This window comes from Homo sapiens, chromosome 10 (genome assembly GCF_000001405.40).
Source record: "Homo sapiens chromosome 10, GRCh38.p14 Primary Assembly".
Classification (NCBI taxonomy): domain Eukaryota; kingdom Metazoa; phylum Chordata; class Mammalia; order Primates; family Hominidae; genus Homo; species Homo sapiens.
This window is the reverse complement of record NC_000010.11, coordinates 5,838,213-5,860,002: the sequence shown is the minus strand read 5'-3', so window position 1 is coordinate 5,860,002 and position 21,790 is coordinate 5,838,213. Positions and strand designations below refer to the sequence as shown.

Here is a 21,790-nt window from a genome sequence, read left to right as displayed (position 1 = left end):
ACTCTCGCCCAGGCTGGAGTGCAGTGGCACAATCTCAGCTCACTGCAACCTCCATCACCTGGGTTCAAGCGATTCTCCTGCCTCAGCCTCCCAAGTAGCTAGGATTATAGGCGCACACCACCACTTCCAGCTAATTTTTGTATTTTAGTAGAGATGGGGTTTCACCATGTTGGCCAGGCTGGTCTCAAACTCCTGACCTCAGGTGATCCACCAGCCTCGGCCTCCCAAAGTGCTGGGATTACAGGCGTGAGCCACTGCGCCTGGCCACGGTATCACACTTTTAATGGCCACTAACATGATGTACTATCTCATGATTTTAATTTTGCATTTCTTTTTTTTTTTTTTTTTAAAGACAGGGTCCTGTTCTGTTGCCCAGACTGGAGTGCAGTGGTGTGACCATAGCTCACTGCAGCCTTGACCTCCTAGGCTCAAGCAACCTCGACCTCCTAGGCTCAAGCAATCCTCCCTTCTCAGCCTCCTGAGCAGCTGGGACCACAAGCACGCACCAGCTCGCCCAGCTAATTTTTAAAATTTATGTAGAGATTCCACTTTTATAGGGGGGTCTCACTGTGTTGGCCAGGCTGGTCTCGAACTCCTGGCCTTAAGCAGTCCTTTCACCTTGGCCTCCAAAAGTGTTGGGATTACAGGCATAAGCCACCACACCCGGCCTTGGCATTTCTCAATCAGATTGAAGATCTTTAGATTTGTTTTTTTGGCCATTATAGCCCTTTTTCCTATTTTTACCTGTATCAGTTAGCTGTTACTAAATGACAGACCACCCCAAAGCTCACTGGGTTGAAACAGGAGTCTGTAGGGCATCTGGGTGGCTTTGCTGCTCGCAACTGGGCTCACTCCTGCGTCCCGTCAGCCAGTGAGTTGCTGAGCTGGTATAGGATGGCCTTGGGTGGATCAAGCTGGCTCTGCTCCCCATGGTCTCTCCATTCGGCTAGCCCAGGCTTATTTTTCATGACAGTGGCAGAGATTCAAGAGAGAAAAGAGACTTAAATGTGCTTTCCAGTCTCCGCTCTGTTTGTGTAGATGCTTCCATCCCATTGGCCAAAGCAAGGCATGGTCATGCCCAGAATTAGTGTAGGGGGCAGAACCCACAGACTGGACACAGAGGCCATTGATTGGGGCCATTAATGAAACCAGTTCTTGCTTCATCTTTTGACCATTGTTTTGTCTTGTTGATTTGTAAGAGTCATTTTTATATTGGGTAAATTAGCTCTACACATAATTTCAAATAATGACAAAATTTGGGTTATACATTTACAAGTAAAAAAAAAAACAGACTACAGCACAGCAGAAATAATCTCCTTTATAGCTCCTTTAAAAAAAAAGAGCTCTTGTGAGTAGATACAGGCATACACAGGCACTCACTACAATGCTGGGAGTGGGATGGCACAGATTCCTTGGATATGATAGGGTGTTTCTATTTAGATTACAGTATGTGGTACCTTTAAAGCAGCTCTCAGAGTTCTAGAGCTTCCACCTGTGCCAGCCTACAACATGCATGGTCTTTATTTTTCCCAGTGTTGCTGAAAATCCACGATTAGCTAAAAGGTAAATGAACGCAAAAGACGTAGGAACAAAATCCAGCTTGTGGCTCGTCCTGTCCCTTGAACACAGAGCCTTGGGTCTACCACATCCTTTCCTCTCTTCCAGCTGATACAGACTTAGATAATTCCATTTTGTGATTTAATATTAGATGGAGGTGGGGTGGCTCACACCTGTAATCCCAGCACTTTGGGAGGCTGAGGCTGGAGGATGCCTTGAGCCCAGGAGTTCACAGCTGCAGTGAGCTATGATCACACCACTGCACTCCAGCCTAGGTGACTGAGTGAGACCCTGTCTCTAAATAAAGACCAAAAAATAACAGTGGACTAAACCAAAGTTTATTTTCTTTCCCGCATAAGAGTCTGGGCATAGCCAAGTACAGATGAGCTCAACCAGCCCCAGGTGTCAGCCCCCCGGTTCCTTCTGCTGGTTGTTCTGCTGTCCTGAGTAGGTTGCCCTTTTCCATGTGGTCCAAGATTGCTCCCCAACCTGTGGAGGGGAACAGGAATGAAGGGGAGGGCCAGGCGCAGTGGCTCACACCTGTAATCCCAGCACTCTGGGAGGCTGAGGCAGGTGGATCACTTGAGGCCAGAAGTTCGAGACCAGCCTGGCCAACATGGTGAAACCCTGCCTCTACTAAAAATACAAAAATTAGGCTGGGCACCGTGGCTCCTGCCTGTAATCCCAGCACTCTGGGAGGGTGAGATGGGTGGATCAGCTGAGGTCGGGACTTGGAGAGCAGCCTGACCAACATGGAAAAACCCCATCTCTACTAAAAATACAAAATTAGCCGGGCATGGTGGCACATGCCTGTAGTCCCAGCTACTCGGGAGGCTGAGGCAGGAGAATCTCCTGAACCTGGGAGGCGGAGGTTGCAGTGAGCCGAGATCGTGCCATTGCACTCCAGCCTGGGCAACAAGAGCGAAACTCCATCTCAAAACAAACAAACAAAAATTAGCTGGGCATGGTGGCACACACCTGTACTCCCAGCTACTTGGGAGGTTGAGGCAGGAGAATCGCCTGAACCCGGGAGGCAGAGATTACAGTGAGCTGAGATTGCATCTCTGCACTCCAGCCTGGGAGACAGAGTGAGACCCTGTCTCGAAAAAAATAAAATAAAAAAAATATATAAAAGAAAAAAGAATGAAAGGGAGGCTATGCATGCCCCCTTTTTTTCAGAAGGCATGTAGATCATTTCTGTTCACATCCTCCTGACCATAGATCAGTCATATGACTGCTAGAAGAAAATTGAAATTTAGGGATGGTTCAGGGCTTTGCCATATGCCCTTATCAGAGGTGCCTTCATTGAGACTATTTGGGGACAATTATCTGTGCAAGTCTTTGCTGCTGTCCCCACCCTTCCCCTAACACACACACTCCTTAACCTTAGCTTTTAAAGTCTTAGAGACCAGAGAGCAAATCCACTTATTTATAGATACGCAGTTGTAAGGGACATGAGAACAATCTGTGAAGATGGCATTCGGAGCAGAGAACAAGGCCGCATAGCCGTGTAGGGTGTTAGTCCCCTACAGTGATGCTCCAAGTGACCTCATGCAGGTCACACTCCCTGCCTCTCAGTGTCCTGGTAAACGATGGGCAAAATGGCACCTCCTTCCCAGGTTTACTGTGAGGATTAACCGAGTTGGTGTGTGTCAGACCCCGGTCCAGGTCCAGCCCATGCTGAAGTCCAAGGTGAGTGGGGTGGATGAGCAGAAACGCTTTGGTGCAGGGGGCCTAGGCAGGTGAATATGGTTTTATTCAGCAGCAGTTCTCATCAATGGCTTTTTATTAGCAGCTTACTCACATTAGCTCTCTCACCCTGTCCACCTTTATCTCTGCTATTTGCTTTGGCTCTGTGGCTCCTGTGACCCCCGGCTCTCCCTTGCCTTCAGGGTCAGCAGCTTAACTCTTTCTTTCTCTGGCACAAGCAAGCAGAGCTGTGTCCTGGCTCCCTCCTGTCTGTCTACAAGATGGACAGCTTTGGCTGTCTCCCTTTCTCTGGGCGCCAGCGCACCCACCACATCAAGCCATGTCGAGCCAAGCTGAGCCTCAAAAGCACCTGTACGGCGTCAGCAGGGCAGTTATACCTTTTACAGACAATAGTGGCTCAGAGCCAAGTATGAACTTACACAAACAGGTTATGTAACAAGCGGAGGTGTGCGCCTGCGCACCAAACTCACTGAGCCGTGCAGGCCTGTATATCCGCCTCGGTCTCTACCTTGACCAAATCACATCTATATACCTTACAGCGTGCATGATGCTTGGCCCAGCACGTGCACCCAACACGTGTGAGCCATTGTGAGTAACAGTCGCACCAGGTGAGCCTCTTTGGCTTAATGGGCTGAGTCGTCAAAGGCGAATGAAAATCATCAAGTTAGCAGCACAAGACCAAGAAGAGCTCAACTGAAGAAAGCAGTGAGACAAACACCATTTTTAGCCCCTTTTCCTACTTTTTCTCTTTCTCTTTCCCTCCCTGGGGATGTATGTCCTTAGCCCTTGGACGCCTCCATTGTCTTTATCAAAAAGAAAACTAGGTTTCAGTCTTCATTCATGCTAAGGTGTTAATGAAAAAATTTCAAATTTTATCAATCCTTGAGTTGTCTGCATTTTTTTTTTTTTGAGACAGGATTTCACTGTCAGGCTGGAGTGCAGGGGTGTGATCCCGGCTTACTGCAGCCTCTGACTCCTGAGTTCAAGCGATCTTCCTACCTCAGGCTCCCAAGTAGCTGGGACCACAGGCAGGCACCACCACACCTAGCTAATTATTTTTTTGTATTTTTTTTAGTAGAGACAGGGTTTCACCATGTTGCCCAGGCTGGTCTCAAACTCCTGGGCTCAAGTGATCTGCTCACCTCAGCCTCCCAAAGATATGAGCCACCATGCCCAGCCAATTGTCTGCATTTTAACAAGGATCAAATTATTAAACCGAAAGAATGAAGCTCTCAATATGAAATGCATGCGTCATTAAAAATGTAAAGAAGTATTTTCAAAAATGTATTCTAACTGGGCCTTCCTTCATATCTTTATTTGTATTTTTTGTTTTTTGTTTTTTTTGAGACATAGTCTCCCTCTGTCACCCAGGCTGAGTAGCACCAGGTGAGCCTCTTTGGCTTAATGGGCTGAGTCGTCAAAGGCGAATGAAAATCATCAAGTTACCAGCACAAGACCAAGAAGAGCTCAACTGAAGAAAGCAGTGAGACAAGCACCATTTTTAGCCCCTTTTCCTAGTTTTCTTTTGCTCCTTCCCTCCCTGGGGATGGAAGTGCAGTGGCATGACCTCGGTTCACTGCAACCTCCGCCTCCTGGGTTCAAGCCATTCTCATGCCTCCGCCTCCTGAGAAGCTGGTACACACACACTCAGGTGTGTGCCACCACACCTGGCTAATTTTTGTATTTTTAGTAGAGACGGGGTTTCACCATGTTGGACAGGCTGGTCTCAAACTCCTGGCTTCAAGCAATCCACCCACCTCAGCTTCCAAAGTGCTGGAATTACAGGCGTAAGCCACCGTGCCTGGTTTGTATCTTTATATTTGTTTATTTATTTTTTTTTTTTTTGAGACGGAGTTTCACTCTTGTTGCCCAGGTTGGAGTGCAATGACACAATCTCGGCTCACTGCAACCTCTGCCTCCTGGGTTCAAGCAATTCTCGTGCCTCAGCCTCCTGAGTAGCTGGGATTACAGGTGCCCGCCACCACGCACAGCTGATTTTGTATTTTCAGTAGAGACGGGGTTTCACCATGTTGGTCAGGCTGATCTCAAACTCCCTACCTCAGGTGATCCGCCCGCTTCCGCCTCCCAAAGTGCATTACAGGCATGAGCCATCACGCCTGGCTGGGTCTTTATAATTTTTTTATAATTAAGACATTTTCTGTCCCTTTCATGACTACATCTTGTTAATTCAATTTCTATTCAGCATCTCAAATAGGTCCACTTTCAACAAGCCCACCGACAGCCACTAGGCAACTCCAGCCATTGTCCTCTTGTTCCAGGTACTGTGGCTGCACAGCAAATTACCCCCAAATCTAGCCGTGTAAAGCAGCCCTTTGTTATGCTCATGGATTCTATGTATAGGAATTCAGACAGGGTCCAGCAGCGATGGCTTGTCTCTGCTCCCAGGGACTGGGGATTGCAGCTGGAAGATTTGAAGGCTGAAATCACCCATGTCTGGCAGATGCTGCTGGCTGACGACCTCAGTTCCTCCTCACATGGGCCTCTCCCTCGGTCTCTCCATGTGGGCTGGTGTGAGCTGAGAGAGAGGGAGGGAGCGCCAGGCAAGGCCATATTGCCTGTCATAGCCTAACTTTATTTATGTATTTATTTATTTATTTATTTTTTTGAGACAGGGTCTCGCTCTGTTGCCCGGGCTAGAGTGCAGTGGCACGACCTCAGCTCACTGCAACCTCTGCCTCCCTGGTTCAAGCAATTCTCCTGCCTCAACCTTCCAAGTAGCTGGAACTACAGACACATGCCACCACGCTTGGCTAATTTTTTTTGTATTTTTAGTAGAGACGGAGTTTTGCCATGTTGCCCAGGCTGGTCTCGAACTCCTGACCTCAGGTGATCTACCCACCTTGGCCTCCCAAAGTGCTCGGATTACATGTGTGAGCCACTGTGCCCAGCCTCATGGCCTCATAGTCTAGCTTTGAAACTCAGCTAGCCTGTGGTTCCATAGTGTAGTGGTTATCACATCTGCTTTACACGCAGAAGGTCCTGGGTTCAAGCCCCAGTGGAACCATGGTGTGGTCTGTTGTTTTCCTGCCTGTAATCCTAGCTCCTCGGGAGGCTGAGGCAGGAGAATCACTTGAACCCAGAGGCAGAGGTTGCAGTGAGCTGAGACTGCGTGAAACTCATCTCAAAAAAAAAAAAAAAAGTCATGCAACGTCGCTTTGCCACATCCATTTGTCAAGGCAGTCAAAGTCTCGCCCGGGTTCAAGGTGAGGGAAGTAGACTCCACCTCTTGATGGGAGTGGTAAAGTTCTGGAAGAACAGGTGGGAGTGGAAATGCGGGAGCACCTTTCAGACATGGGCTCTGCCATGTTTCCCTTGGCTGAGTTACTGGGATGGCCTCATCACTGGCCTTGCTACTTCCACTTTTTTTTTTTTTTTTTTTTTTTGAGACAGAGTTTTGCTCTTGTTACCCAGGCTGGAGTACAACGGCGTGATCTCAGCTCACCGCAACCTCCGCCTCCTGGGTTCAAGCGATTCTCCTGCCTCAGCCTCCCGAGTAGCTGGGATTCCAGGCATGTGCCACCACACCCGGCTAATTTTGTGTTTTTAGTAGAGATGTGGTTTCTTCATGTTGGTCAGACTGGTCTCCAACTCCCGACCTCAGGTAATCTGCCCTCCTCGGCCTCCCAAAGTGCTGGGAGTACAGGCGTGAGCCACAACACCCGGCCCTACTTTTTTGTTTTCTTTTGTTTTTGTTTTTGTTTTTGAGACAGAGTCTCACTTTGTCACCAGGCTGGAGTGTAGGGGGTGTGATTTCGGCTCACTGCAACCTCCACCTCCTGAGTTTAAGCGACTCTTCTGCCTCAGCCTCCTGAGTAGCTGGGACTACAAGCACCTGCCACCACGCCCAGCTAATTTTTGTTTTTTTTTTTAGTAGAGGTGGGGGTCACAATGTTGGCCAGGCTGGTCTTTAACTCCTGACCTAAAGTGATCCGCCCGCTTCAGCCTCCCAAAGTGCTGGGATTACAGGCGTGAGCCACCGTGCCCAGCCTACTTCTACTTTTGTACTTCCCTTTCTGTGACTCTCACAGAGCAGCCTGGGAAAGCTAGAAACAGATTAGCTTGTGCCCCTCCCTGCCTCTTACTTCTCAGGGTAGAACTGCCAAGGAGGCCAGAGGGACAGCCCAGTCTGTCACCGCAGACGCCTCTCACTCACCCTCTCTTCACGCCCCAGGCCTCCTTTCAGTTCCTCAAACAAAACGGACCAAGCCGATTTCCTTCCACCTCAGTGTCTTCCTGGAAATTTCTTTTCTCAACTTGTCATGAGTTTGATTCCTATTCGCCCTTCTTGCCACAGCCTGAATGTCTCTCCCTGGACAGGAACCATCGCTGATTCCACTCTAAAAATCCTTCCTGAAATCCTGTCACGTCACTTGTGCCAACGTGGATGAAGCTGCAGGACGTGATGTTAGGGTGAGACAAGCCAGGCTCAGAGAGACAAACACTGTAAGATCTCACTCATATGTGGCATCTAAAAACAGCAAACCTGGCAGGGCACAGGGGCTCACGCCCGTAATCTCAGCACTTTGGGAGGCCGAGGCGGGCGGATCATGAGGTCAAGAGTTTGAGACCAGTCTGGCCAATATAGTGAAACTCCATCTCTACTAAAAATACAAAAATTAGCTGGGCACGGTGATGCACGCCTGTAGTCCCAGCTACTCGGAAGGCTAAGGCAGGAGAATCGCTTGAACCCGGGAGGCAGAGGTTGCAGTGAGCTGAGATTGCACCATTGCACTCCAGCCTGGGCGACACAGCAAGACTTTGTCTCAAAAAAAAAAAAAAAAAAAAAAAAAAAGCACGAATCCCATTCATGGGGGCCTCACTCTCATGACCTCATCACCTCCCAAAGGCTCCACCTCTTAATACCGTCACCTTGGGAGTTAGGGTTTCCACCTATGAATTGTTCCACCTGTGAACACAAACATTCTGATCATTGCAGTATTTTTATCACAATAATAATAAAAAATACGTCGGGCGCGGTGGCTCACGCCTGTAATCCCAGCACTTTTGGAGGCCGAGGCAGGCGGATCACGAGGTCAGCAGATCAAGACCATCCTGGCTAACACAGTGAAACCCTGTCTCTACTAAAAATACAAAAAAATTAGCTGGGCATGTTGGCGGGTGGCTGTAGTCCCAGCTACTCGGGAGGCTGAGGCAGGAGAATGATGTGAACCCGGGAGGAGGAGCTTGCAGTGAGCCGAGATGGCACCACTGCACTCCAGCCTGGGCGACAGACCAAGACTCCGTCTCAAAAAAATAAATAAATAAATAAAATAATAATAATAATAATAAAGATGGCAGGAGAAATCCTTTGGAGGTCATGGGTATGTTTCTAACATAGATTTTGGTGATGGTTTCACGGGTGCATACTTATCCCCAAACTCATCAAGCTGTATACACTAAATATGCGCATATTTGTATGTCACTCATACTTCAATAAAGTGGTTGTAAAAAATCAATAAATAGGCCAGGTGTGGTGGCTCACGCCTGTAATCCCAGCACTGTGGGAGGCCAAGGTGGGCGGATCACGAGGTCAGGAGTTTGAGACCATCCTGGCCAACACGGTGAAACCCCGTCTCTGCTAAAAAACAAACGAACAAAAAAATTAGCCGGGCGTGGTGGCGGGCGCCCTTAGTCCCAGCTGCTCCGGAGGCTGAGGCGAGAGAATGGCATGAACCCGGGAGGCGGAGCTTGCAGTGAGCCGAGATTGTGCCACTGCACTCCAGCCTGGGTGACAGAGCAAGACTCCATCTCCAAAAAAAAAAAAAAAGGATACAAAAATTAGCCGGCTGTGGTGGTAGATGCCTGTAATCCCAGCTACTCAGGAGGCTGAGGCAGAATTGCTTGAACCTGGGAGGCAGAGTTTGCCGTGAGCTGCGATCGCGCCACTGCACTCCAGCCTGGGTGACAGAGCAAGACTCTGTCTCGAAAAAGAAAAAAGAAAAGAAAATCAGTAAATAAAAAAGAAAATCAGTAAATAAAGCTATGCGTAGTGGCACATGTTTGTAATTCCAGCTACTCGAGACTCAGATGGGAAGATTGCTCCAGCCCAGGAATTCGACACTGCAGTGAGCTATGATTGCACCATTTCACTCCAGCCTGGGCAGCAGAATGAGACCCTGTCTCTAAAAAAATAAAAATAAAAATAAAGGATTAAAACTAAAAATCAGGCCAGGCACTTTGGGAGGTCGAGGTGGGAAGATCGTTTGAACCCAGGAGTTCAAGACCATTCTGGGCAACATAGCAAGACCCCATGTCTACCATAAGTAAATAAATATCAACAAATAAAAGCAGGCCCTTCCTGACAAATTCTCTCAGCACTCTGTAACATTCCTTCCAGGTATTGACAATATTCGTTCATATGGTTTTTGAATAGCATCCTTTCCTACAAAACTGGAAGGTCCCCAAGAGCAGTGTCCATGCCTGCTGTGTGCCAGGCGTGGAGGAGATCCTCTGTGGATGTTTGCTGAATGAATGAATGATACAGGGGAGGAGCAGCGAACAAAGAGTCTGTCTTCACCTTCAAGAATCAACCTCTGAAAGAAGAGCCAGGGCCGGGTGTGGTGGCTCACACCCAGCACTTTGGGAGGCCGAGGCAGGTGGATCACCTGAGGTCAGGAGTTTGAGACCTGCCTGGCCAACATGGCAAAACCTCATCTCTACTAAAAGTACAAAAAAATTAGCCGAGCGTGGTGACGGGCGCCTGTAATCCCAGCTACTTGGGAGGCTAAGGCAGGAGAATTGCTTGAACCCAGGGGGCGGAGGTTGCAGTGAGCCGATATCACACCATTGCACTCCAGTGACAAGAGCAAAACTCCATCTCAAAAAACAAACAAACAAAAACAAGAAGAGCCAGGGCTGGGCACAATGGCTCACACCTGTAATCCCAGCAATTTGGGAGGCTGAGGCTCAAAGAAGATTATTTGAACCCAGGAGTTTGAGACCAGCCTGGGCAACATAGGGAGACTCTGTCTCTACAAGAAATAAAAAATCAGCCAGGCATGGTGGTGCACACCTGTGGTCCCAGCTTCAGGAGACTGAAGCGGGGGGGATCGCTTGAACCCAGGTCGAGGCTGCAGTGAGCTGTGATTGTACCACTGCATTCCAGCCTGGAAGACAGAACAAGGCTCTATCTCTAATATTAATAACAACAATAATAATACAAGAAGAGCAAGACTGGCATCACCATAAGACAAGTGCAGTGTGATAAGGACTACCAGAGAGCTAGAAAGGCGAGGCTGGAAGGGAAGTCTTCCTGGAGAAAGTGGAATGAGGGCCAAGACTTGAGGAATGGAAGGAAGTTGATTGGTGGAGAAGTTGGGCAGCTCTTTCTGAGCAGAGTCAAGATGTGGATGTGATAGCATGAAACTTGGCTGGCCAAGTAAGATGCCAGACCCCTGGTTATGTTTGAATTTCAGGTAAGCAATGAGTTATTTCTTGTTATCAGTAATGTCCCAAATAATTGCACAAAACCTATTTATTCTAAAAAAGTATTTGTGGCTTATCTGAATTCATGTTGAACTAGGTGGCTTATATTTTTGTTGTTGTTGTTTGTTTTCGTTTTTTTGAGACAGGCTCTCGTTCTGTCACCCAGGCTGGAGTGCAGTGTCACAATCTCAGCTCACTGCATCCTCCACCTCCTGAGTTCAAGCAATTCTCCTGCCTCAGCCTCCTGAGTAGCTGGGATTACAGACGTGCACCACCACGCCTGGCTAATTTTTGTGTTTTTTAGTAGAAATGGGGGTTTCACTGTGTTGGCCAGACTGGTCTCGAACCCCTGGCCTCAAGTGATCTGCCCACTTCAGCCTCCCAAAGTGTGGGGATTACAGGTGTGAGCCACTGCACCTGGCCTGTCTTGTATTTTTATTTGCTAAGTCTGGCAACCCTAGATGAGATGCTAATCCATGTGGCAATTTGGCTCTTTCTGAAAGGGCATAAATGAACTCTATTTCTTAGCTGACCACAGGAAAAAAAATGAGTTAAACTGAATTTGGAGCCCAGATTCTCAATCATTGCTGAAAGAATCAACCTCAAAATCTCAGGAACTTACCAGAGTAAATGTTTATTTCTCGTCTGTGAAATGTCTGACGTGGATGTTCTTGGTTCATGGGTTTTCCCTGAACCAAGATGGTTTTCCGCTGAGCGGTAAACTCAAGGACACAGGCTCCTTCTGCTGTGCAGTGTCACCAGCTTGGACTCCTTGGCTTCCAGTCACACAAACTGAGGAAAGAGACAGCAGGAGCTGTCACACAGCCCTTCTGTGGGCAGGCCTGCCAATGGCCTCAACTCTGGCCATGTTCCATTAGCAACACTAGGTGTGTGACTCCACCCAGATGCTGGGAGGGCCTAGAAATGTCATCTTCCTAGGCCGAGCGTGGTGGCTCACGCCTGTAATCCCAGCACTTTGGGAGGCCGAGGTGGGCAGATCACGAGGTCAGGAGTTCGAGACCAGCCTGATCAACATGGTGAAACTCCGTCTCTACTAAAAATACCAAAATTAGCCGGGCGTGGTGGCATGCACCTGTATTCCCAGCTACTCAGGAGGCTGAGGCAGTAGAATTGCTTGAATCCGGGAGGCGGAGGTTGCAGTGAGCTGAGATCCCGCCATTGCACTCCAGTGTGGGCGACAGAGGGAGACTCTGTCTCAAAAAAAAAAAAAAGAAAGAAGAAAGAAATGTTATTTTCCTGTGTGCCACAGGGCTCTGGGCAGTAAAGGACAGGTTGGTAGAATGGATGGACCACACCAGAGAGCTCTGTGTTTAAATCACAGCGTGGCCTATCATGGTGGCTCAAGCCTATAATCCTATGGGAGGCCTAGTAGGGAGGATCACTTGAGCCCAGGAACTCGAGATCAGCCTGGGCAACACAATGAGACCCTGTCTCTACAAAAAATTTTTAAATTAGGCCAGGTGTGGTGGCTCACACCTGTAATCCCAGCACTTTGGGAGGCTGAGGTGGGGGGATCACCTGAGGTCAGGAGTTCGAGACCAGTCTGGCCAAAATGGTGAAACCCTGTCTCTACTAAAAATACAAAAATTAGCTGGGCATGGTGGTGTGCGCCTGTAATCCCAACTACTCGGGAGGCTGAGGCAGGAGAATTGCTTGAACCTGGGAGGCAGAGGTTGCAGTGAGCCAAGATCACACCATTGCACTCCAGCCTGGGTGACAGAGCAACACCCCGTTTCAAAAAAAAAAAAAAATTTGCCAGGCATGGTGGTGCGTGCTTGTAGTCCCAGCTACTCAGGAGGCTAAGGAGGGAGGATTGCCTGAGCCCAGGAAGTCAAGGCTGCAGTGAGCTGAGATTGTGCCACTGCATTCCAGCCTGGGGCGACAGGAGTGAGAACCTGTATCCAAAAAATAATAATAAATAAATAAATCACAGCCCAGGTGGATTAGCCCCTTACCTTCAATCTTCTTGCTTGTAAAAAGGTCACAATACCTACCTTGCCATGTGGCTGTGAGAGGAAAGCCTGGCACACACAGAAGGTACATGATGACAAGTTGTTACTGTAGTATTATTTTGTTTGTAATCTGTCATTAAAGGTAATTCCGTGGCTTTCTGGGGAGTCCTGGTTTACCCAATAGGAACATGGAGCCATAGTATCAGATTGTTTTATATCTTAGATTTAAGACCTAGGCCGGGCGAGGTGGCTCATGGCTGTAATCCCAGCACTTTGGGAGGCCAAGGTGAGTGGATCACCTGAGGTCAGGAGTTCAAGACTGGCCTGGCCAAAATGGCGAAACCCTGTCCCTACTAAAAATACAAAAATTAGCCAGATGCGGTGGCATGTGCCTATAGTCCCAACTACTCAGGAGTCTGAGGCAGGAGGATTGCTTAAAGGCCAGAAGCGGAGGTTCCAGTGAGCCAAGATTGCGCCACTACACTCCAGCTTGATGACAAAGTGAGACTCCATCTCAAAAAAAAAAAAAAAAAAAAAAGATTTAAGAGCTAAAACCATCCAATGCAGTTGAGGCTCAGCAAAGCTCAGCAACTTGTCTGAGATCACATAGATGAGGGTCCTAAAATACACCTGGCCCCCTGCCCTCTTAGTAAACAGAGCGTCACCTTCTCCAAATGTCCACACTGTTACCTGGACCATTTCCACATAAAGAGATCAGGCTGTGTTTGCAAAGCTTCCTTCAAAGAGTTGGGAAATTTTCTTTCTGTCTCTTAAATATCAGTGACGATTATGCCTAGGCTGGAATTTTAACTTCCCATTCCAGTTTCCTGAATATAGTACAGTGAAAGAAAAGTCTAGAAATTTACTGACCTTTTCTCATTGGCTTGACACCATGCTTGACTTCTCAGTGGGGCTGAATTTCCCCTCCGGGGTCTGACTCACATTTTCCAGCACACAAAGCAACCCGTTCAATAATAACCAGACACTTTTACTGTTCAGATATCAATCTGGACCAAAAGTGGGTTGCTAATGACAATGAACAATCCACCAGCAAGGACCACACTTCCCCCCTGCTTTGTTTTTCAGTTTTCAACTTGGTTTCATTTTGCCATGACAAAAGAACTTGCTGGCCAGACACGGTGGCTCACACCTGTAATCCCAGCACTTTGGGAGGCTGAGGCGAGCAGATCGCTTGAGCCCAGGAGTTCAAGACCAGCCTACACAACATGGCGAAACTCTGTCTGTGCAAAAAATACAAAAATTAGCCAGGCGTGTGGGGCTTGCCTGTAGTTCCATCTACTTGGGAGGCTGAGGTGGGAGGATTGCTTGAGCCCAGGAGGTGGAGGTTGCACTGAGCTGATACTGTGTCACTACACTCTAGCCCAAGTGACAGAGCACGACCCTGTCTAAAAAAAAAAAAAAGAGGCCAGGTGTGGTGGCTCATGCCTGTAATCCCAGCAGTTTGGGAGGCGGAGACAGGTGGATCACCTGAGGTCAGGAGTTCTAGACCAGCCTGGCCAACATGGTGAAACCCTGTCTCTACTAAAAATACAAAAATTAGCCAGGCATGGTGATGGGTGCCTGTAATCCCTGCTACTCAGGAGGCTGAGGCAGGAGAATCACTTGAACCCGGGAGACGGAGGTTGCAGTGAGCTGAGATCGCGCCATTGCACTCCAGTCTGGGCCACAGAGCGAGACTCCATTAAAGAAAAAAAAAAAAAAAAAGAACTAGTCTGGGTGAGGTGGCTCACACCTATAATCCCAACACTTTGGGAGGCCGAGGTGGGCGGATGGCCTGAGCTCAGGAGTTCAAGACCAGCCTGGACAACATGGTGTAACCCCATCTCTATCAAAAATACAAAAATTAGCCTGGCATGGTGGCACACACCTGTAGTCCCGGCTACTCAGAAGGCTGAGATGGGAGAATTGCCTGAACCTGGGAGGCAAACATTGCAGTGAGCCGAGATCACACCAGTGCACTCCAGACTCGGTGACAGAGCGAGACTCTGTCTCAAAAAAAAAAAAAAAAGATCTTACTAAGGAGGCTGAAATGGCAGTGAGCCAGCAGCAGGCCCTGAGCTCACGTGACTATAAATTGGCCATGGCCAGCTCCGCACTGCCTGGGTTAATTTATCTTTACCGTGTTTTTCCAAGTGACAGGAGTGGTCAGGGAGAGAGAAGCAACTGACAGTAACATTAATTCACCCATCAGATGTCCCCAGCTTTGTGACCTATTGCAACAACCTCGGCCAATTTATTTTGTTGGCTTTTCCCATCTGCCAGCATCCAAAAATGAGACAAGCTGAAATAAAAACTCTTCCCAGGCCTTAGGGGTAAATAATAATTTCCTCTTTTCACCCAAAGACGAAGTGGTCCACTTCGCAGGCAAATCATTTTGCAGGCTTTCGGAGATGGCTTTCAACGTGTTTCACCCACAAACATCTGGAACCAGCTCTTCTTTACAAGTTATTTTCAGCAAGCAGCAAAATGCCATTCTGTAGTGTAGGAATTTCCACCAGGCACGTTTCAGGCTGCCTGTGTCGCCGTAGGGCAAATGACTACACAGATTGTCCTCCTGGACAGATTGGCAAGGAAAGATCTTCGATGATATGTTATATAACAAATGAAATGCCTATTCCTATAGTAAGGCTCAAAAAAACCTTTGATCAAAATTAGACCAGGTGTATGATTTTTCTTTTTTGGGACAGTGTCTCACTCTGTTGACCAGGCTGGAGTTCAGTGGTGCAATTACAGCTCACTGCATCCTCGACTTCTGGGGCTCAAGCAATACACCTGCTTCAGCCTCCTTAGTAGCTGGAACTACAGGTGCATGCCACTGTACGTGGCTAATTTTTTTGATTTTTAGTAGAGACGGGGTTTCCGTGTGTTGCCCAGGACAGTCTTGAACTCCTGAGCTCACTGAATCCTCCCGCCTCAGCCTTCCAAAGTGTGGGGATTACAGGCATGAGCCACTGTGCCTGGTTTCAGGTTTATGATTTGGAGTATGTATTTAGAGCAAATATTGTAAAAGGTGATCCCTCAAGAAAAAAGGAAATCATAGTCTCTTTGTTTGCTTCTGTCTCCAAAGAGGGAAGAGCAAAAGTCCTCAGCGATGTGGCTCCTTTGGACCAAGCTTCGTGGAAGATGAGAAGATCATTAGAAACCACCGACCTGAAAATGGGGGTTTCCTAGGACAATCAAGACTCACATTTGACTTTTTTTTTTTAAGATATGAGAGCTTCTTATTTTATCTCCTCTGAAATTAGTCACTAGTCTTTCTGACTACCAAACACAGCTAAACTGTATGTGCATATATATATATATATATATGGCTTCTGTCCCCCTACACAGAAAGGAGAGAAGAGAGAAGGAGAGAAGGAAATTATTACTTATGCAGGTGAAAGTAGTCAGCTGGGAGATTTCACATTTTCACTTAGCAGAGAGCGGGGAGGAGCTATTTTGATAGTACAGCTTCTCTTTCCATGGTGAAAGATAGATAACTTCTTCAAAGCTAAAACAAAGCTAAATACAGTTCTGGTTTAAAATTTAATATATGTAAGGCTCAACTTTATCACAAGTTCCAAGACTTAGATTTTAAAATAAAACTACCCAAAAAAGATAGCTAAAATAAGTGACTTACAGTTTTTTGTTTTGTTTTGTTTTGTTTGAGACAGAGTCTCCCTCTGTTGCCCAGGCTGGAGTGCAGTGGTGCGATCTTGGCTAACTGCAGCCTCCGCCTCCTGGGTTCAAGCAATTCTCCCGCCTCGGCCTCTTGAGTAGCTGAGACTACAGGCACGCACCGCCATACCCGGCCAATTCTTTTGTATTTTTAGTAGAGAGGGTGTTTCACCATGTTGGCCAGGCTGGTCTTGAACTCCTGTCCTCTGGTGATCCACCCACCTCGGCCTCCCAAATTGCTGGGATTACAGGCATGAGCCACTGCGCCCAGCTGAGCTCATGCCTGTAATCCCTGCATGAGTTCATTGGCCATTTCTATATCTTGCTTGGAGAAATGTCTATTCACATTCTTTGCCTATTTTTTAATTGTGTTTTTTGTTTTTTTGTTTGTTTTTGAGACAGAGTCTTCCTCTGTGACCCAGGCTAGAGGGCGGTGGTACTATCTTGGCTCACTGCAGCTTCCACCTCCTGGAGTCAAGGGATTCTCCTTCCTCAGCCTCCCAAGTAGGCTGGGACTACAAGTGCTCGCCAACATGCCAGGCTAATTTTTGTATTTTTAGTAGGGATGGGGTTTCCCTATATTGGCCAAGCTGGTCTCGAACTCCTGACCTGAAGTGATCTGCCTGCCTCAACCTCCCAAAGTGCTGGGATTACAGGTGTGGGCCACTGCGCCCGGCCATGTTATTTATTTATTTATTTATTTATTTATTTATTTATTTATTTGAGACAGAGTCTAGCTCTGTCGCCCAGGCTGGAGTGCAGTGGCGCAATCTCGGCTCTCTGCAAGCTCTGCCTCCTGGGTTCGCGCCATTCTCCTGCCTCAGCCTCCCGAGTAGCTGGGACTACAGGCGCTCGCCACCACGCCCGGCTAATTTTTTTTTGGATTTTTAGTAGAGACGGGGTTTCACCATGTTAGCCAGGAATGTTGGGCTAATTTTTGTATTTTTAGTAGAGACAGGGGTTTCGCCATGTTGGTCAGGCTGGTCTTGAACTCCTGACCTCGTGATCCGCCCGCCTTGGCCTCCCAAAGTGCTGGGATTACAGGCGTGAGCCACCGCGCCCAGCACCACATTATCTTGTTAATAATGAATTGTAAGCCTCTGGAAGCTTTTCCTCTTTCCTCCCTTTCTTCATTCTTTAATGTTTTTCTCGCTGAAAGAGCACTGAAAAGGATAGCTAAAATATAGTGCCGGAGCTCAAGGATCTCACAGTCTAATGGAGGAGAGAAATACCAGAGAAGGAGCAATTCGTGTCAGGGATGGGGGATCTGGTTGGGCTTCACAAAAGATGAAATAATTTGGGTCTGTGTCCCCACCAAATCTCATGTTGAATTGTAATCCCCAATGTTGGAGGTGGGCCGTGGTGGGAAGTGTTTGGGTCGTGGGGTTGGATCCCTCACAGTAGTGAGTTGTCATGAGATCTGGTTGTTTAAAAATGCGCCCCCCGCCGCCGCTCCCTCTCCCGCCATGTCAGTCGCCTGCTCCCCTTCGCCTTCCGCCATGATTGGAAGCCCCCGGAAGCCTCCCCAGAAGCTGTTGCCGGTGCTATGCGACCTGTACAGCCTGCAGAACCGTGAGCCAATTGAACCTTGTTTTCTATAAATTATGCAGTCTCAGGTATTTCTTCATAGCAATGAGAGAACAGACTAATATAGAAGACAACACCATGAGTTGGAGAAGAGCATTCCAGCTCACGCCATGGCCTCAGGGGCATCCTACTCTTGATTTTCTTTGATGTATACATGAAGGGGATGGTGGCAGAAACACTTTCAATGAATTTGTGCTCTTGGAGTCACCTTTACATCAATTCGAGGGGGAAATGCCGTGATTAAGCCATTCGCTAAGTAAAGCTGTCAAATAGCAGCTTCTGGTGCATGTAGACCAGGCAGTCACATTTGGTGATTTAGGGGCTGTGTGAAGACCCCGCGCCTACCGTTAAACAATCTATCCAAATCACTCCCATCTCTACAAATATACGACAGCTGCCACAGAAATCTCTTGTTTTCGCTCTGGAGGGAGAATGCCTCCAGTAACTGGTTTACTTATAGGGCCAGCTTATTAAACTTACAGTTTACTTATTTATTTTTATTTGTTTGTTTTGGTTTTTGTTTTGTTATTGTTGTTTTTTGAACTTACAGTATAAAAAACAGTAACTCAGACATTTGAATCCTGCCCCACCACTAATCAGCTTCTTGCCTTGGCCAATCCCAACCTGAGTCAGTACCCTTATTCGTACAATGGATTTAGTAACACCTGCTTTATGCAGTAATTACAAAGGTTAAAATAATCCATACCTGTTAAATAACTGGCCAGTGCTTGGCCAAAATAGAATCCCCAAATAGTTTGAATCTGTGTCACGAGACTCTGACAGCACAGGGCACTGATGCACAGAAAGGGTGTCATTGTGTCACTGAAGAGGTGTGATTGATGGGCGGGGTCTGGTGTTTATTTGCAGCACCAGAGAGGGGGCCTCCCACCGAGGAAGGAAATGCCAGAAATAAAGGGGCAATGAGGGGGCGTGAGGGTGAGGACATGACCCGCGTCACCAGGGCAGTCGTGGGCTGAAGCCTTTCTGTATGTCCTCCTGCCCCCCGGTCACCTGCAGCGAGTGAGACCTTCCAGGGCCACATGACATGAACCGTGGGAACAGCACCTTCACTAGGCTGTGCCTGACTTTCGAAGGGGTTTTCAGGAGAGCTTTGGACAAAGCGTGGAGGCACGAATTCTCAAAAAATCCAAATGAGGGCCCCAGAGCCACTGGCCTCCCCACTTTCTGCAGCAGGACCTGGGTGGACACTGGTGCCCACAGACCCCCCAGACAGGACACGAGGTGCCCCGCGAGGTGGAAATACATCTTCTTCCCGCCTCACAGTGCAGCAGAGAAGCACTGACTTTCTAGCTGCTTTAGCCACACACAATGGCACCTCTGTTCCTGTCCAGTGAGCTTGCTGCCTCCAGGGACACTGCCGGGGCCCATCGTGGCCATGCCGGGAACATGCAGTCCTTTGATAATCGCCCTTTATCCCGGCCTCTAAATCAAAGCGGCAAACATGCTGACAACAACTCCAGCAAACGCAACCGATGCTTTCAGGTCTGACCCTGAAACGGAGACCCACCTCCGTGGGGAGAAGCACACGCTTCTCTGGGCTGTAGGCTCGACGGAAACAGGAACTGCGGGCCCTGCACACAGCTGCGCTCGCCGGGGCAGCTCAGACTCACATCCCCAGGGGGATGCGAGTTATCCAGAACGGCGTTCCTGACCCCCAGAGGGGTGAGTCACCCCGGCCCGCCTTTCCACGTGCTGTGTGAAGCCTGTGGACAACTTCAGATGCCTTGTTGTTTTTTTATCGAGGTGAAATTCAAGTAACGTAAAATGAACCATTTAAAGTGAAAAATTCGGGCCGGGTGCAGTGGCTCACACCTGTAATCCCAGCACTTTGGGAGACCGAGGTGGGAGGATCGTTTGAGCCCAGGAGTTCGAGACCAGCCTGGACAACATAGTGAGACCCTGTCCCCGAAAAAAGAAAAACAAAATTAGCCGGGCATGGTAGTGTGCACCTGTGTTCCCAGCTACTCCGGAGGCTGAGGTGGGAGGATGGCTTAAGCCTGGTGGGGGTTGAGGCTGCAATGAGCTATGATTGTCCCACTGCACTCCCAGCCTGGGTGACAGAGAGAGGCCCTGTCTCAAAAAAAAACTAAAATAAATAAATAAATAAAAGGAATAATTCAGTGGCATTTAAAACATTCACTGTTCTGCAGGCACCACCGCTATCTAGCTCCAAAGTGTTCTCCTCACCCCAAATACAACCCCGCACCCATGTGCAGTCACTCTTCATTCTCCCCTCCCAGACTGTGACGGCAACGTGCCAGGGACTGTGCTCAGGGCAGAAGCACAGTGGTCAACACAGCGGTTGCAGTCCCTGCCAACATGGGGTCCAGTCTAACGTGACATCCAGATACAAAACAACTGGAAATGGCACGTGTTACAGGAGCCTATGACAGAAGTGCTAAGCAGGGGCCGGGCGCCGTGGCTCACGCCTGTAATCCCAACACTTTAGGAGGCCGAGGAGGGTCAGGGGTTCAAGACCAGCCTGGCCAACATGGTGAAACTCAGTCGGTACTAAAAATACAAAAATTAGCCAGGCGTGGTGGTGCACGCCTTTAATCCCAGCTACTCAGGAGGCTGAGGCAGGAGAATCACTTGAACCCAGGAGGCAGAGGTTGCAGTGAGCCGAGATTGTGCCACTGCACTCCAGCTTGGGTGACAAAGCGAGACTCCGTCTCAAAAAGAAAAAAAAAAACACTGCTGAGCGGGTCCAAGCTCAGAGTTCCCATACGATGCCCTGCTGAGGTGGGCTTGACGGTCATCCCCATTCTCCAGATGAACAAACTGGAATCTTGAGAGGTTAAATGCCCTGCTCAAGGTTAGACCACCAATAAATGGCAAAGTTGGGATTCAAACAAAGGTCCCTGTGACATCCACCAAGTTGCTTTCTGTCTCTATGGATTTAATTATCCCGTACATTTCATATCAATGGAATCACACAATATGTGACCTTTTGTGTCTGGCTTCTGTTATTTTAATATTGCAAAGGTTCATCCATGATGTAGCATACTTTAATGCTCGATTCCCTTTTTTTCTTTTTTTATCAGAGTCTCGCTCTGTCACCCAGGCTAGAGTGCAGTGGCGCGATCTTGGCTCACTGCAAGCTCCGCCTCCCGGGTTCACGCCATTCTTCTGCCTCAGCCTCCCGAGTAGCTGGGACTACAGGCGCCCGCCACCATGCCCGGCTAATTTTTTGTATTTTTAATAGAGACGGGGTTTCACTCTGTTAGCCAGGATGGCCTTGATCTCTGACCCCGTGATCCGGCCACCTCGGCCTCCCAAAGTGCTGGGATTACAGGTGTGAGCCACCGCGCCCAGCCTCGATTCCCTTTTATAACTGAATCCTATTTCATTGTATGGATGGACACACTTTGTTTCTTCGCTCATCTGCGGATGCACATTTGGCTTGTTTTCCTTTTGGTTTCTGTTGACAGTGTTGCTATGAACATTGGTGCACAGTATCTGTTTGAGTCCCTGCTTTTAATTCTTTAGGAGTGGGATGCTGGATCATAGGATGATTTTGTTTGTTTGTTTGTTTGTTTTGAGACAGGGTCTTGCTCTGTCCCCCAAGCTGGAGTGCAGCGGTGTGATCACGGTTCACTGCAGCCTTGACCTCCCGAGCTCTGGGGATCCTCTCACCTCAGCCCCACAAGTAGTTGGGACTGCAGGCATATGCCACCATGCCTGGCTAATTTTTTGTAATTTTTGTAGAAACAGGGTTTCATCATGTTGCCCAGGCTGGTCTCAAACTCCTGGGCTCTAGCCATCTGCCACCCCATCCTCTCAGTGCTGGGATTACAGGTGTGAGCCACTGCAGCCAG

The 21,790-nt window shown here is 48.3% G+C and overlaps 1 non-coding gene across 1 annotated transcript, besides 12 other annotated features; it reads left to right on the top strand.

The window, feature by feature from the left end:
• Positions 6,171–6,371: a silencer, noted in NCBI's record as "peak856 fragment used in MPRA reporter construct". NCBI's record gives its function as "represses an SCP1 promoter by STARR-seq MPRAs in K562 erythroleukemia cells {active_cell/tissue: K562}" and the evidence as "EXISTENCE:reporter gene assay evidence [ECO:0000049][PMID:32103011]".
• On the top strand, positions 6,220–6,292 carry TRV-TAC3-1 (tRNA-Val (anticodon TAC) 3-1). Its single transcript has one exon. It is a non-coding gene; the product is annotated as a tRNA-Val (tRNA).
• Positions 6,852–6,911: an enhancer, noted in NCBI's record as "active region_2940". NCBI's record gives its function as "activates an Ori minimal core promoter by ATAC-STARR-seq in GM12878 lymphoblastoid cells {active_cell/tissue: GM12878}" and the evidence as "EXISTENCE:reporter gene assay evidence [ECO:0000049][PMID:35858748]".
• Positions 7,168–7,337: an enhancer, noted in NCBI's record as "experimental_13451 CRE fragment used in MPRA reporter constructs". NCBI's record gives its function as "activates a minimal promoter by MPRAs in K562 erythroleukemia cells, with activity observed for both the introgressed and non-introgressed 10:5894714 or rs146468944 variant alleles {active_cell/tissue: K562}" and the evidence as "EXISTENCE:reporter gene assay evidence [ECO:0000049][PMID:34662402]".
• Position 7,252: a transcriptional cis regulatory region, noted in NCBI's record as "Neanderthal adaptively introgressed variant 10:5894714 (GRCh37/hg19 assembly coordinates) or rs146468944 in the experimental_13451 CRE". NCBI's record gives its function as "modulates activity of the experimental_13451 enhancer by MPRAs in K562 erythroleukemia cells {active_cell/tissue: K562}" and the evidence as "EXISTENCE:reporter gene assay evidence [ECO:0000049][PMID:34662402]".
• Positions 7,432–7,521: an enhancer, noted in NCBI's record as "active region_2939". NCBI's record gives its function as "activates an Ori minimal core promoter by ATAC-STARR-seq in GM12878 lymphoblastoid cells {active_cell/tissue: GM12878}" and the evidence as "EXISTENCE:reporter gene assay evidence [ECO:0000049][PMID:35858748]".
• Positions 7,652–7,701: an enhancer, noted in NCBI's record as "active region_2938". NCBI's record gives its function as "activates an Ori minimal core promoter by ATAC-STARR-seq in GM12878 lymphoblastoid cells {active_cell/tissue: GM12878}" and the evidence as "EXISTENCE:reporter gene assay evidence [ECO:0000049][PMID:35858748]".
• Positions 13,800–13,899: an enhancer, noted in NCBI's record as "active region_2937". NCBI's record gives its function as "activates an Ori minimal core promoter by ATAC-STARR-seq in GM12878 lymphoblastoid cells {active_cell/tissue: GM12878}" and the evidence as "EXISTENCE:reporter gene assay evidence [ECO:0000049][PMID:35858748]".
• Positions 14,050–14,099: an enhancer, noted in NCBI's record as "active region_2936". NCBI's record gives its function as "activates an Ori minimal core promoter by ATAC-STARR-seq in GM12878 lymphoblastoid cells {active_cell/tissue: GM12878}" and the evidence as "EXISTENCE:reporter gene assay evidence [ECO:0000049][PMID:35858748]".
• Positions 15,714–16,013: an enhancer, noted in NCBI's record as "active region_2935". NCBI's record gives its function as "activates an Ori minimal core promoter by ATAC-STARR-seq in GM12878 lymphoblastoid cells {active_cell/tissue: GM12878}" and the evidence as "EXISTENCE:reporter gene assay evidence [ECO:0000049][PMID:35858748]".
• Positions 18,960–19,009: an enhancer, noted in NCBI's record as "active region_2934". NCBI's record gives its function as "activates an Ori minimal core promoter by ATAC-STARR-seq in GM12878 lymphoblastoid cells {active_cell/tissue: GM12878}" and the evidence as "EXISTENCE:reporter gene assay evidence [ECO:0000049][PMID:35858748]".
• Positions 19,290–19,469: an enhancer, noted in NCBI's record as "active region_2933". NCBI's record gives its function as "activates an Ori minimal core promoter by ATAC-STARR-seq in GM12878 lymphoblastoid cells {active_cell/tissue: GM12878}" and the evidence as "EXISTENCE:reporter gene assay evidence [ECO:0000049][PMID:35858748]".
• Positions 19,680–19,979: an enhancer, noted in NCBI's record as "active region_2932". NCBI's record gives its function as "activates an Ori minimal core promoter by ATAC-STARR-seq in GM12878 lymphoblastoid cells {active_cell/tissue: GM12878}" and the evidence as "EXISTENCE:reporter gene assay evidence [ECO:0000049][PMID:35858748]".